General features: G+C 38.5%; 1 pseudogene; it reads left to right on the top strand.

The window, feature by feature from the left end:
* Positions 1-7,302: 7,302 nt before the first annotated feature.
* On the top strand, positions 7,303-15,267 carry LOC107986731 (zinc finger protein 736-like; annotated as a pseudogene).
* The last annotated feature ends 1,131 nt before the right edge of the window (positions 15,268-16,398 follow it).

Raw genomic sequence — 16,398 nt, 5'->3', positions numbered from 1 at the left:
CCACCGCACCCAACCTATTTTTTTTATTATGCTTACATTGGGATTATTTAGTTGCTCTTTTTCAAGTATTTCTGTGGATTAAAGTTATGTTTTTTATTTGACATCTTTTCCTTTTTCTTAATATAGAAATATATCACTATAAACTTCTGATTTAGAACTGTTTTGTGGGTTTTTTTTTTTTTTTGTATCCCAGGAGTCATTGTATGCTTTGTTTCTATTTTCTTTTTTCTCATTATACTTTCTGATTTCCCTTTGCTTTTTCTTTTGACCTATTGGCTGTCCAGGAACATGTTGTTTACTCTCCACATATTGGTGAGTTTTTAAATTCTTATTTGGCTATTATTTTCTAGTTTTTATTAAATTGTAATTTAAAAAGTTGATATAGCTGGGCACAGCGGCTCATGCCTGTAATCCCAGCATTTTGGGAGGCCAAGATGGGTGGATTACCTGAGGTCAGGAGTTTGAGACCAGCCTGACCAACATGGTGAAACCTCATCTTTACTAAAAATAAAAAATTGGCTGGGTATAGTGGTGCATGCCTGTAATCTCAGCTACTTGGGAGGCTGAGGCAGAAGAATCACTTGAACCCAGGAGGCGGAGGCTGCAGTGAGCTGAGATCATACAATTGCACTCCAGCCTGGGCAACAAGAGTGAAACTTCATCTTAAAAAAAAAAAATGGACAAATGATTAAACTAAATTTTAATTAAAAAAAAAAGATACACAAATGGGAAGAAGCATTTGAAAGGTTGCACATAATTAATAACTTATAGAAAAATGAAAAACAAAATCACAATACAAAACAAAATTCCCTGACATCAATTAGAATGGCCACTACAAATTTTTTCAAAAATACCAACTATGTTGATGATGTAAAGAAACTGAAACCTATGTAAGTTGTTGATGAGAAAAAAGATGCAGCCATCATAAAAAACATCATGAATGTTTGTCAAATAATTAAAAATGAAATTATCATATAATATAGCAATTCCATCTATGAATCTATATATATAAAGTATGCAACACAGTAAAATGAAGACATAAGCAGTACCCTGCTTGCATATCCCCCCACAGCAAGTCTCACAACCCAGCCTCTAAATGAATAAATACATGGATAAAAATTAAAAAATAAAAAAATTTAGTAAAAAAAACTTTATATTTCAATGTTATAGTAATAAAAACAGAATGGCATGTGCAGAAAAATGGACAATCACCAATGAAACAGAAACTACTATTCTCACACATTTTAGACATGATGCAAAAAAAGAATTTTAAAAATGTTTTAACATAGAGTTTCTCAAAAATATGCAGATATTTGTATGTCCCCAAAAGCAATGGCAAAGCAGTCAGTTTGTGCAGTCCCTGGTAAGCCATAAAGAAAACTTTGACTCACACTGTGAACTTGAAGGAAGATTACTGAAGCAAAAGTAGAATCCTTAGAGAATTTAAAAGCATGGGGCAGAACGTGTCCCACCCTATGTGAGAGAAAAAGAAAAAAATGACTCGGGCTTCCCAGAAACTTTCCATCAAAGCACAGCTCCCCAGACCACATTTTAAAGACTGGCTGCCTCCTTGATTTGTGTACCTTTCATCTGTGTCATCTGCTTCATTCGCTCTCACCTACCTGGGTGTTTGGCTACCATCTCATTTCTCTTTGTATTCCAGGGCTCTTTGTTTTGCCCCAAGCAGTTGATCAAGTCTGGCTTAGAGACAGCAATACCTGTTTTATTAAGAAAAAAAAAAAAACATAAATCTTACTGAATTCTTTAATTACCAACCTAGTATTATGCTTAGTAAAGAGGATATAATAGAAAATTCTAAAAAATTAATATTGATTCATAACAGAACTTTCTAAATATTTAGAAAATATTTTAAATTTGTAGGTCCTTAATTTCACTACTCAGTACTACTGAATCAAAAATTGGTGGCAGCAACTGAATTCTAAGGTGTGGGCAACGATATTTTATGCCATGACATTTTTGGAAAAAGAAAGAAAAATTTGGCGGGGCGTTGTGGCTCATGCCTATAATCCCAGCACTTTGGGAGGCCGAGGCGGGCAGATGACCTGAGGCCAGGAGTTTGAGACTAGCCTGGCCAACATTGTGAAACCCTGTCTGTACTAAAAATACAAAAATTAGCTGGGGTGGTGGCATGCACCTGTAATCCCAGCTACTCAAGAGGCTGAGGCAGGAGAATTGCTTGAACCCGGGAGGCGGAGGTTGCAGTGAGTCGAGATCACACCACTGCACTCCAGCCTGGGTGACAGAGCCAGACTCCATCTAAAAAAAAATTCCTTGCACTCTTTCCCACTCCAGCCAGGGTGGCAGAGCGAGACTGTCTATAAATAAATAAATAAATAAATAAATAAATAAATTTCTCCATCCTTTGTGGTCTTCACCAACAGCTTAAGAGAAACACTTTTTCCTGTTATGACTTAGGTGGTTTTGTATTTTCTTACTTATCACATAGCCAGATACAGACTCTGCAAATTTCCACCTGTTTCTTATAAAAGAATCAGCTAAATACTTTTCTTCAGTGGTCAAAATATTTTTAAATCAACTTTGCTTAAATTTTTCTCTTATCTCAGGGCTCCTGACCTTTGAGTACCCTCAGTCTGAGCCAACATACAACCCCATTTTCTGTCTCTCCTTAAGAACATGCTAACTTCAGGGTAAAACATTCTCTGATCTAGAATCTAATTTTGCCCCCTTATATCATACCATTCTTACTCCATCTTCTTTCTAAACTTGTTTGCTATTCTCTACGAAAGAAAGTCCTTGTCTGCCTATACACGTTGATATCCTTAAAAATCTTATACTTGACACTTTTTTCTGTTGTTGGGATTCAGAACTTCTTACCTAAATCTGAATTTGTTTTATTTTACAAAGTCTAGAAACTGCCCCAAAACAGCAACACCTTTATTTTCAGTAAGATCCTCCCAATTCCCATCTATTCTAACTCTAACTGCATCTGCCTGTGGGTCCCCAGCTTTCCTGGACTCTGTTGCTTATCTCAGTAAAAATACTTCTTCCATGGCTGGGGTGAGCAGGTTGGGACATCTGCAGGAGAGGCTCCCTAGAAAGAACTGACTAGGTCTTCAAGGTCTTCAATAACCTCCTTTTGCAGGCTCCATATTGCCCTTAGCTTGGAGTCACAGGGCTCAGGCTTTAATTTCCAAGTCAGAGATGTTCATTTAGTTTTAGAAACTAAGTGGTGATAAATCCAGAAAAATTACTGAAACGCAGTGTTTATGCAAGGGAAAAAAATTTAAGGTGCTTACATTTTATAGCTCAATGAGAAAAGCAAAAGTATTTATCACTTTCAGACAATACACATATCACTAACTTATTTCCATAACAGGATATTCAGTAAACACTTAGTAATATGAACAAACTTCCAGAAGGTGCCCAGTCCCATCTCATAAAGTTTAGCATAAAATTCAGAAATCAAGATAACAGGAACAGGAGGGTGGCTGACACCTGTAATCCCAACAATTTGAGAGGCACAGGTGGGTGGACCACCTGAGGTCAGGAGTTCAAGACCAGCCTGGCCAACATGGCAAAACCCCGTCTCTACTAAAAGTACAAAAATTAGCCAGGCATGGTGGCATGTGCCTGTAATCCCAGCTACCCGGGAGGCTGAGTCAGGAGAATCGCTTGAACCCAGAAGCTGGAGGTTGCAGTGAGCCGAGATCATGCCACTGCACTCCAGCCTGGGCAACAGAGTGAGACTCGGTCTCAAAAAAAAAAAAAAAATCATATAGGAATGTAATTGGAAGCCATAGTTTCTGAATTTCAAATCATTATAAATGATTAAATTTAAATGATTATAAATTACGCCTGTAATCCCAGCACTTTGGGAGGCTGAGGCAGGTGAATCACGAGGTCAGGAGTTTAAGATCAGCCTGCCCAAGATGGTGAAACCCCATCTCTACTAAAAATACAAAAAATTAGCCGAGAGTGGTGGCGTGCGCCTGTAATCCCAGCTACTCAGGAGGCTGAGGCAGGAGAATCGCTTGCACTTGGGTAGCAGAGGTTGCAGTGAGCCGAGATCGCGCCACTGCACTCCAGTCTGGGTGACAGAGTGAGACTCCATCTCAAAAAAAAAAAAAAATTACTGAATATTTTTCCAACTGAACACATAAAGATGTTTTTGTGTTTTGATTTACATTGAATGCAATATACAAATATATTAAGCTAAAAATAAACTATAAGTGTAAGAGAAATATAGAGGAACAAATTTCTGTGTGTGTGTGTGTGTGTGTGTGTACACTTCTTTAAATGGAAAAGAAAATAGTGGACCAAAAAAATGGTGTCAAATCCGCAATTTGCTAGCAAATCAGGAACTTCACAATGCTTAAAGTAAAATTAGTTTCTCTATTGCACACTGAACTTATTTTTCCCAAATCTCAAGTCTCCTGGGTTCAGAATCTTTCTTATATATAGTTTTGTTTATGTATACTTTTTGTTTACTTGCATATTATTCACATGAGAACAAATATATAATTTTTTTGTTCCAAAGTTTGTGAAATATTTTTACATTTTCTGCTCAGGGATTTTAAGAATGTTTTCATAAAATTTATTTTTTATTTTATTTTATTTTTTTTTGAGATGGAGTCTTGCTCTGTCACCCAGGTTGGAGTGCAGTAGTGCCATCTCGGCTCACTGCAAGCTCCGTCTCCCGGGTTCATGCCATTCTCCTGCCTCAGCCTCCCAAGTAGCCGGGACTACAGGTGCCCGCCACCACGCCCGGCTAATTTTTTGTATTTTTAGTAGAGATAGGATTTCACCGTGTTAGCCAGGATGGTCTCGATCTTCTGACCTCGTGATCCACCCGCATTGGCCTTCCAAAGTGCTGGGATTACAGGCGTCAGCCACCACACCCGGCGATTTCATAAAATTTAATGTTGCTCAGAAGTTTATTTGAAGATTTAGTTCTACAGTGAGTGAGCATATTACATTTTATTTCACTATTGCATTCCATTTTTCTCCCTTACTGATTGGAGAAAAAACTATTTAAGTCAAAATTTTCTTTAGTTAATTTTTCCTTCTATTTATTTTAAGTGACATCATACAATTTTAAAATTTTACCAGGCTGACTTTTTTTCCGGTGGAAATTTAGGATGTTTTATAAGTTATGGAGTTGTTTTAATGTTTATATAAAGTAAACAAATACAGAGGACAGTGCTGGGTGTGAAGCAGATACTCAACATTTAAGAGAAAGCTATTTTTTTTTTTTTTTTTTGAGATGGAGTCTCACTCTGTCACCCAGGCTGGAGTGCAGTGGCGCTATCTGGGCTCACTGCAACCTCCATCTCCTGGGTTCAAGCGATTCTTCTACCTCAGCCTCACGAGTAGCTGGGACTACAGGCGTGTGCCACCATGCCTGGCTAATTTTTTGTATTTTTAGTAGAGATGGGGTTTCACCGTGTTAGCCAGAATGGTCTCGATCTCCTGACCTCATGATCCGCCTGCCTCGGCTTCTCAAAGTGCTGGGATTACAGGCGTGAGCCACTGCGCCCGGCCAGCCGAGAAAACTGTTTCTATTAGAGTAATATTACATGTTTCAGGTAAGAGACTGAAACATTTAGAGTGAAGAAATAGCATTGATTGTGCATGTGGGGAGAGGACACCTGCTCTTCAACTGAATGACTGAATTTAGAAAATAAAATTCTGCTTGTTTTATTTTATAATTATCTCCAGTTTCTCACTCTCTCTTTATTTATTTATTTATTTTTATTTTATTTATTTATCTATTTTTTTTCTGAGACGGAGTCTCACTCTGTCGTCCAGGCTGGAATGCAGTGGTGTGATCTCGGCTCACTGCAAGCTCCGCCTCCCGGGTTCACGCATTCTCCTGCCTAAGCCTCCAGCGTAGCTGGGACTACAGGTGCCCGCCACCACGCCTGGCTAATTTCGTTTTGTATTTTTAGTAGAGACGGGGTTTCACCATGTTAGCCAGGATGGTCTCGATCTCCTGACCTCGTGAACTGCCCGCCTCGGCCTCCCAAAGTGCTGGGATTACAGGCCATGAGCCACCGCGCCCAGATTCTCTCTTTATTTTTATCCCCAGCTACATATGCATCAAAGCCACTTTCTTGTCTTACGGTTACAGCTTTCTCACTGCTCTCCTTACCCCATGGAATCTCACACAAGACTTTTTGCAGTTCTGATGAATAGTTTGGAATTTTTGCAATGCAATGATAAATTGTTTTTTACTGAAGAGTTTGAGGCCACTTATAGGTTTTAAATACCACATTCTGATCACTTAATTGAAGTAGTAATGCAATAGTCCAGAGGATCAGATCAAGCAGTCAGCACTGTGGCAGATGTGGAGACAGATTAAACATGATAATGGTGTCTTTCTTAGTGAGGTAGATGAGGCCTATTGAAAAAAATATATAGCAGATACGTTTGAAATATGGGGTAGAAATTGAAGTGACTTCCCTGTAATCACTCTGAGGTCTTAGGATAGCTACAAGTGGTGTCATCACGTGAACAAATGTGACAGAGATGAGACGGGGACTTGGAAAATTTTGTTAAGTTTCCCTTCCTCCCTGTCTCCCTCCCTCCCTCTCTCTCTGTCTCTCTCTCTCTTTCTTTCTTTCTTTCTTTCTTTCTTTCTTTCTTTCTTTCTTTCTTTCTTTCTTTCTTTCTTTCTTTCTTTCCTTTCTTTTCTTTCTTTCTTTCCTGTCATCCAGGCTGGAGTGCACTGGTGTGATCTGGGCTCACTGCAACCTCCATCCTCTGGGTTCAAGTGATTCTCCTGCCTCAGCCTCATGAGTAGCTGGGACTACAGGCATGTGCCACCACACCTGGAGTCTTTGTCTCCCGGATGACTGTTTCTTGCTTTTAACTTGAATAAACTCTAAAACTGAATTTTGAGCCTTTTGATTATTTTAGATTGACAGCCCTTCATAGCATTTTTCTGTCTTCTGCTTTTACTTTCTTTTTTATTTTTTAATTTGAGATGGAGTTTCACTCTTGTCACCCAGGCTGGAGTGCAATGGCGCATCTCGGCTCACGTAACCTCCGCCTCCCGGGTTCAAGAGATTCTCCGGCCTCAGCCTCCTGAGTAGCTGGGACTACAGGCACCCAACACCACACCCGGCTAATTGTTGAATTTTTAGTAGAGACTGGGTTTCACCATGTAGGCCAGGCTGGTCTCAAACTCCTGACCTCAGGTGATCCACCTGCCTTGGACTCCAGAAGTGCTGGGATTACAGGCTTGAACCACCACACCCGGCCTCTGCCTTTACTTTCTAACTAAATCCTCTTTCATACACACACGTTGTACGTAACACCATGACTCAGGTGCCTGCTTCCAATACCTACTGGAATTCAGATGTCCATGAGTTCAGGGTCATGGACTTAGACCTGGCTGTTGTAAAGGCAAATAGAAATTAGAAATAGCAGACTTAATTCTTCAACTTGAAAATAAAGGAAGAGATTTTGTTCTTCTTTTTTTCTTAAAGGATTTAACTTAGAAAACTTTGCTATGTAAATTCTTTCTCTGACTCTTTGAAATATATGTAAATCATTTTAATAGCTAAATAGGACTTGGTCAATCATTTTAACTTAGAAATGCCTTTCTCTAGGACCTGGAAACCATTGCTTTGAAATGTAAACAGCAAAAAAGATAGTACCCTATGCCACAGTTTCTGTTGGATAGTAGGTGCCTACCTTCAGCAGACACTTGACTTCAAGTTGTAAAACTATCTTCTTCTATGAAGATAAAAAAAGTTAATTTTTCTCCTGAATATAGCCAATTAAAATTTCATTGAATATGCCCAATATACAGATGGCTTTCTCAATCACCAAATGAATTTAGGATCAACTATGTATGACAATTGTGCTGTTAAGTCTATTTAAGAACAATCTTGGCAGATTTGCTGTGATGCAGATCACCTTCTGATTTATTTAATAAAACAATGTTCTTTTTCTTCTGCTATTATTGAGTGTCTCTGAGGTTGGAGATAATTTTGATTTTAATTATGTTATTCAAACACTGTACAAAATTACCAGACGGGATATAAACATATGAGGTGCCCACAATACTTTAGTTCAGAGAGGCTTTTCTCTCTTTGGCTTGCCCCGTAATTTGCAGGCAGAATATTTCTCTGCCTGTTTGTGATATACAGTCCCTTCTGGAGCAGTTCAACCAGGTTTCTAGAAAAACACCTTCACAGAAGAGCAATCAGCCATTCCAGCTCCATCTTTCAATGCACTTGGCATCTTCAGACCTAAAGATAATTCAAACACCATGGGGCCCTGAATCCCAAACAGCCTGGCTAAAGTTCTATGAATTTTGCTTATCTTTTCAAAAAAACTCACTTTACATTATGCTCTTCTTTTGTATTTCTTGTTTTATTTTCACTTGTTTCTGCTCTGATCCTTATTATTTCTGTTCTCCTAATTTTGGGTTTGGTTTGTTCTAGCTTTTCTAGTTCTTTATGATACATTAATAGTTTATTTTCATATTTGAAAACTTTTTTGTGTAGGCACTTATTGCTACGAACTTTCCTCTTAGTACTGCTTTTACAGTATCTGTAGTTTTGGTATGTTGTGTTTCCATTTTCATTTGTTTCAAATAAATTTCAAATTTTCTTCTCAATTTTTTTATTGGCCCGCTGGTCATTCAGAAGCATATTTTAGTTTCTCTGTGTTTGTATAGTTTTCAAAGTTCCTTTTGTTATTGATTTCTAGTTTTATTCTACTATAGTCAGAGAAAATAATATGATTTCATTTTGGAAGGGAATCTTTTAAGAGTTATTTTGTGGCCTACTATATGGTCTATCCTTAAGAATAATTTAGGTGCTGAGGTATAGAATTTGTATTCCATAGCTATTGGATGAAATGCTTTGTAAATATCTATTAGATCTATTTGGTCCATAGTGCAGATTAAGTCCAGTGTTTATTTGTTGATTTTACTATCTGGGTCATCTGTCCACTGCTGAAAGTGGGATGTTGAAGGCTCCAGTTATAATTGTATTGAGGTTGATCTCTCTCCTTAGCTCTAGTATTTGCTTCCAATATCTGAGTTCTCCAGGGTTGGGTGCATATATATTTACAACTGTTATATCCTCTTGCTGAATTTACCACTTTATCATGATATAATGACCTTTGTTGTCTCTTTTTATAGTTTTTGTCTTGAAATCTGTTTTGTTTGATATAAGTATAGCTATTCCCACTCTTTTTTGGTTTCCATTTGCATGGACTATCTTTTTCCATCAGATTATTTCAGTCTCTGTGTGTCTTTATAGGTAAAGTGTAAAGTGTGTGCCTTGCAGGCAGCAGATTGTTGGGTTTTGTTGTTTTGTTTGTTCGTTTGCTTGTTTTTACCCATTTGGCCAATCTATGTCTTTAGATTAGAGAGTTTAATTTATTTACATTCAATGTTGTTATTGATAAGTGAAGGCTTACTTCAGCCATTCTGTTATCTGATTTCTTGTTTTGTGCTCTTTCCTCCCTCCCTCCCTCCCATTCATCCTGTCTTCCATTTAGTGAAGGTGATTTTATCCAGTGGTATGTTTTAATTTTTTGCTTTTATGTGTTTGTGTCTGTTACAGGTTTTTTTATTTGAGGTTACCACAAGGCTTGCAAATAACATCTTATAACCCATTTCAACTAATGGCAACTTAACATATTGTAAAAAAGAACAAACGAAAAAGAAAAGAGGAAACAAATAAAAAATACACTTTAACTTTATTCCTCCACTTTTTAACTTTGTTGTTTCTTTCTTTCTTTCTTTCTTTTTTTAAGATGGAGTTTCACTCTTGTTGCCCAGGCTGGAGTGCAATGGCATGATGTTGGCTCACCACAAACTCTGCCTCTGGGGTTCAAGCAATTCTCCTGCCTCAGCCTTCCAAGTAGCTGGGATTACAGGCATGTGCTACCACGCCAGGCTTATTTTGTATTTTTAGTAGAGATGGGGTTTCACCATGTTGGTCAGGCTGGTCCCAGACTCCAGACCTCAGATGATTTGCCCTACTTAGCCTCTCAAAGTGCTGGGATTACAGGCATGAGCCACTGCGCCTGGCTTTTTGTTTCTATTTATATCTTATTATACTGTCTGTGTCTTGAACTTGCTATGGTTAGTATTTTTAATAACTTCAACAGCCTCAAATGGAAATGTAAGAGTTATGGCCTTAAAGAGGAGGTAGAGAAAGAGTTATTGTTTTTTAATAACTATACAAGTCACTATAGAATAATCTTTCAGTCTTTTCAAAATAGCAATAGTTTACACACCACATTTGCAATGCTATGAAATTCTGTGTTTGTGCACTTAATATTACCAGTGAGTTTTGTACCAGATGCTTGCTTGTAGCTCATTAATGTTTTTTTCCTTTAGATTAAAATACTCCCTTTAGCATTTTTTGTAGGACAGGCCTGATGTTAATAAAATCCGTGTGTGTGTGTGTGTCTAGAAAGGTTTTTATTTCCCCTTCATGTGTGAAGGATATTTTTGCTGGATATATTATTCTAGATAAAAGTCTTTTCCTTCAGCACATTAAGTATATCATGCCACTATCTCCTGACCTCTAAGGTTTCCACTGAAGAGTCCGCGGTCAAACATTGGTTTGTCTGTTTGAATGCTGTCTGTTTCTTTTCTCTTGCTGCTTTTAGGACTCTTTATCTTTACCCTTTGGGAGGCTATTATTAAAGGCCTTCAGGTAGTCTTATTTAAGTTAATTGTGCTTCATTTCTATAACCTTCTTGTACTTGAATATTAATATCTTTCTCTAGGTATGAGAAGTTCTCATTATCCCTTTGAATAAACTTTCTATCCTGAACTCTCTCTCTCCCTCCTCTTTAAGATCATAACTCAGAGTTGCCCTCTTGAGGATATTTTCTACATCTCATAAGCATGTTTTATTGTTTGTTAATTTTTTGTCTCCTCTGACTGAATATTTTCAAATAGTCTGTGTTCAAACTCATTAATTCTCCTGCTTGATCAATTCTGCTGTTAAGAGACTGATGCATTCTTCAATGTCATTTGAGTTTTTCAGCACCAGAATTTTGTCTTGATTTTTCAAAATAATTTTAATTAACTTGTTAAATTTACCAGATCAGATTCTGAATTTCTTTTTGGTGTTATCTTGAATTTTATTGAGCTTTCTCAAAACAGCTATTTTGAATTCTCTCTCTGAAAGGTTACATGTCTCTGTCACTAGGAATTGCACACTGGTGCCTTATTTAGTTCATTTAATGAGGTTGTGTTTTTCTGGATAGTCTTAATTTTTGTGGATGTTCATTGATGTCTGGGCATTAATGAGTCAGGTATTTATTTTAGTCTTTGCATTCTGGGCTTTTTTTTTTAACCTGTCCTTCTTAGAAGGGCTTTCTAAGTATTCAAACAAAACAGTGTTGTAATCTAAGTCTTCAGTCATTGCAGTCATATCTGCATTAAGGGACTCCCCAACCCCAGTAACACAGCAAGGCTTGCAGACTTGTAGAAGTGCCACCTTGGTGGTCTTAGGTAAGATCTAAAAGAGTTCCTGGATTACCAGGCAGGGACTCTTTTTCTCTTTCCTTACATTCTACCAAATAAATGGAGTCTCTCTCATGCTGAGCTGCCCAGAGCTGGGGTAGGGGTGACACAAGTGCCCTGTCGCCACCATCACTAGGACTGCACTGGGTGCAACTCAAAGCCAGCACAAGACTGAGTCTCACACAGGCCCACAGTGACCACTGACTAGCTACCACTGATATTCACTCAAGGCCCATGTTCTCTTCAGTCAGGAGGTGGTAAATCCTGCCAGGCTTATGTCCTTTTCTTCAGGGCAGTGAGCTTTCTTACCCACCCTGGGCTGGGGCATAACAAAATGCCATCTGGTAGCCAGAACATGGAGTCAGGAACCTTAGGCATTTACTTGGTGCCCTATTTTACTGTGGCTTAGCTGGCACTGAGGCCAGGAGACAACATCCTTCCTACTCTTCCCTTTCCTTTCTCAAGCATAAGAAGCCACTCCCTGTGGCCACCACCACCCAAAGCCCACAGCAAGTACTTCCAGGCTTCTGCTGGTATTTACTGAGGACCCAAGGGCCCTTCAGTCAGCTTGTGGTGAATTCTGACAGGCCTGCATCTCTTCCTTCAAAACAGTAGGCTCCTCTCTGGCCCAGGGTGGTTCCAGAAATGCCATTGAGGAGCCAAGGCCAAAAACCATGGACCTCAGGAGCCCTCTTGTTACTCTACTCCACTGTGGCTGAGTTGGTAACCAAGCTTCAAGACAAAGTCCCCTTTCCTCTTCCCTCTCTCTTCTTCAAGCAAGGAGTCTCTCCACATGGCTGCCACAGCTTGAATTGCACTGGGTCATACCTGAAGCCAGCACAGCTCTGGGTCTCACCCAAGCCTGCAGCAAGTACTACCTGATTACTGCTAACATTTATTCAAGGCCCAAGGGCTCTTTAGTCAGCAGGTGATGAATCCTGCCAGGACTAAGTCCTTCCCTGCAAGGCAGTGTGTTCTCTTCTGTCCCCGGGTGTGCCTAGAACTGTCACCCAGGAGTTAAGTCTTGGAATGGGGGCCTTAAAACCATTCCTGGTGCCATATTCTACTGTGGCTTAGATGGTATCCAAATTGCAAGACAAAGTCTTCTTTACTCTCCTCTTCCCTCTCCACAAGTAGAAGAAAAGAGTTTCTTCCAGAGCTTTGAGTTGCATTGCCTGTGGCTGGGCTAAGGGCAATGCAGGCACTTCCTTGGGTCACCCCAGTTGGCATCTCATAAGGCCACATGCACTTCAAGCTTTTTGACTCTGAGCCTAGCAAAGCACCAGGATTTGCCCAGGAGTTGCAGTCCCAGTGGCTTAGACTGCCTTTCAAGTTTATTTAGAACCCCAGAGTGCTTTAGCCCATGGTGGTGGGGCTACCTGAAACTCAGGTTTTGGCCACTGAAATGGACACTTTCTCTCAACTAGGGCTAGTCTGAGTGCTCCCTCTGGGGGCACTGGCTGAACTCTGCCCCGTGTTGCTTTCTGCTATGACCAGCAGCACTGAGTTTTACTGCAGAGTCTCCCAATCACTGCACTCTCCCTCCTGTAAGTGCACAGGTTTGCTCTTCTTGCCAAGCTGCTCTACCAGGGAATGGAGGAGAGGTGCTGTTGGCAATTCAAGACTTTCTTTTTTTATCATCTTCAGTGCTTTTTCTTTGATGTGCTTTTAAAACCAGATATTGTGGTCACTCCCCTGAATTTTGGTTCTTATGAAGATGCTTCTTATTTGGATAGCCATTAAATTTGGTGTTCCATCAGGGACATGATTGATTGTTAGAGGGTTCTATTTAGTCCCCTTGCCCCACTTCCCTCCTGCAGCCATGTTATTTTAATTAAGTGCCACATGTGGGGCAAAGGTGACCCCAGGGTCAATCATGAGTGCTTCCAGATACATTTGAAAGAGGTGCACTTAGCTTTAGTTTAAAACAGAGATCATAGGGACTGCTATGCATGGATTTGGTATGGGCAGGTGAGGGTGGCCCATATTCCTATTGCTGCAGCAGAAATTGCTGCCATCCCTGACAGAGGAGGGCACCTGAGTGTTGGAAAGCGGAAACTCACATTTTGGTTTTTCTATGTAAGAGTTTATTGTTTCTGAACCTCTTTACTGGTTAAATAAACTGAAAACCTAGGCTGTGCCACTTACTAGATTTCTGACAAAATATTCCCCTTGGGCCAGAAGCAATAACACCACTGGCAAACTTGTTAGAAATTCTGAAACTCAAGTTTCACCCTAAATCCAGAGTCAAAGTCTACATTTTAACAAGATCTCTTGTTCATCATTGTACACAATTAAGATTCGAGCAGTACGTTTCTAACTCACCATGAAATTTCCGTTTATTAGCTATGGACAACTTATCTTGTATCATGTAAATATAGCATTCAAAAATATACATGTCTGTGTTTGTGCCCTTTATTGTATATTTTATTATCAAGAAAAGTAATGCATCTACACTGGTTTTGTAGATCTTATGCCATCTTCTTTTCTCAGAGTTAAAGAATACAGTAGAGAATATTTTTCTGCTGGAAAGCATCTTATTGGATAACTCCAGTCACTCACATAAGTCAGAACCAGTTCTCTTTGCTCTCTGTTTACCTAATGTAAAATTGAGAATTCTTCCTATGACCATTTGCTAAATATGTTTTGTTTTTCAGGGAGTGTTGCCATTCAGGGATGTGGCCATAGAATTCTCCCCAGAAGAGTGGGAGTGCCTGGACTCTGCTCAGCAGCATTTGCACAGGGATGCGATGTTAGAGAACTATGGAAACCTGGTGTCTCTGGGTGAGGATATCTTCAATATACAATTCACATTCCACACTAAATATTTTATTTTCTTCCATTTTCTGGGAGTTTCTGCTTTGCACAAATGAGTTTCAGAATTCATCTTCAAAAAAGCAAAAACAAAAAAAGTTGGGTATCTGTTGAGGTAGAAAAAAATGTTCAAGATGTTTCATGTTAACATTAATCTTTCCCTTTTTTGAGCTGATCTGTATACTTCAGTCTAAATTACTGGTAATACAAGAAATTTAGTGGCATAAAATATTGTTACCCACACTTTAAAATCCAATTTTTACCACCAATTTTTCATTTAGTATTACTGAGTAGTAGAGCTAAGAACCCACATACTAAAAAAAATTTGTTTTGTTTTGTTTTGTTTGTTTTGAGACGAAGTCTCACTCTGTCACCCAGGCTGGAGTGCAATGGCATGATCTCAGCTCATTGCAACCTCTGCCTCCTGGGTTCAAGCAATTCTCCTGTCTCAGCCTCCCGAGTAGCTGGGATTAGAGGCTTGTGCCACCAGGCCCAGTTAATACACACACACATACACACACACACACACACACACACACACACATATATATATACACACATATATATTTTGTATTTTTAGTAGAGATGGGCTCTCACCATGTTCACCAGGCTGGTCTTGAACTCCTGGCCTCAAGTGATTCACTCACCTCGGCCTCCCAAAGTGCTGGGATTACAGGCATGAGCCACCGTGCCTGGCCAAAATTTTTTCTTAATATTCTAAAGTTCCTGTTAGGAAATAGTATATTGGTATTAATTTTCTAGAATCTCTATAATGTTTTCTCTTCTCTAATGAGCACATTACTAGATTGGTAATTGGAGTATCCTAGCAAGAATCATGTTATTCTTTTCTAATAAAACAGGTCTTGTTATTTCCAAGCCAGACTTGATTACCCTTCTGGAGCAAAGAGCCCTGGAATGTGAAGAGACAGAAGACAGTAGTCAAATACCCAGGTAGGTGGGAGTGAATGAAGGAAATGACACAAATGAGAGTTCCCAATGTCAAGGAGGAAGCCAGACTTTTACACACGGTTTGAATAGCTCTCCTCCAGTGAAAGCAGTTTCTAGAACCCTGCATTTTTTCTCTTGTTTTGACATAGAGGCATCTTTTGTCCAATTCTCATAAATTTTTTAAGTGCTGTACTTCCCCTTCAGTAAGGTTTATTTTTTCCTTTGAGTTTACAGTGATAATAAAAGTTTTAATGATAACTTAAGAATGTGTGATCTGATGGGCTTCCATTGCTTTGGGAGAAACAGTAATATCTGTATTTTTGAGAAACTGTATGTTAAACCATTCTTAAGGTTCTTTTTTTGGATAATGTCTAAATTACATGAGAGTTTTGGTGATATTGGGATTTGGTTCAGAAATCCCAGGAACACCACAAAAAGATATATGTTTTCTGCTTTATATTTTTTTATTCTACAGTGGTTTCAAACGGAATTTTATAGGAATTTATACTCAGTAATTTTATCAAAACACTAACCATCTCCCTAAATATAAGAAACTCTAAAATTACATTAATTCAAAATATTATTCTTTTTATGTAAACTAATATTGATAAATTAAAGTCCGTATACCCAAATTCCTCAATTGTAATAAGTTTGATATATTTACTCCACACATTTATCAAATATACTATGTCACTGAAGAGCTTAAAACATTGCTGAGCATATATTAAACTCTCAATTTTAACTTTATTTTTAAATAAGTGTTATTTTACAGTTTTCTCTTATTTTGTATTTAGCTTACTGGGACTGTGTCAAATATGTATATATATACACACACACATACACATAGACAGATACGTATATGTACACACATGTATATATGTATGGGTATGTAACATGTGGATCTTTTCACAGATAATTGAATACCTGTATGTTTACTGTTTACTATGTATTTATTTTATATGTGTGTGTATATATATATATATATATAGAAATGGTTAATACAATCAAATTAATGAACAAACACATCTATCACCTTACATGCTTACCCTTTTTGTTGTGAGAACAATTAAGATCTCTCAGCAAATTTTCAGCATACCTAACAGTATTATTAACTATAGTCATGAAGCTGTACATTAGGTCACAATAAC

This window comes from Homo sapiens, chromosome 7 (assembly GCF_000001405.40).
Source record: "Homo sapiens chromosome 7, GRCh38.p14 Primary Assembly".
Lineage (NCBI taxonomy): Eukaryota > Metazoa > Chordata > Mammalia > Primates > Hominidae > Homo > Homo sapiens.
Note: the sequence above shows the minus strand (reverse complement) of the source record. Positions and strands in the feature narration are given on the sequence as shown.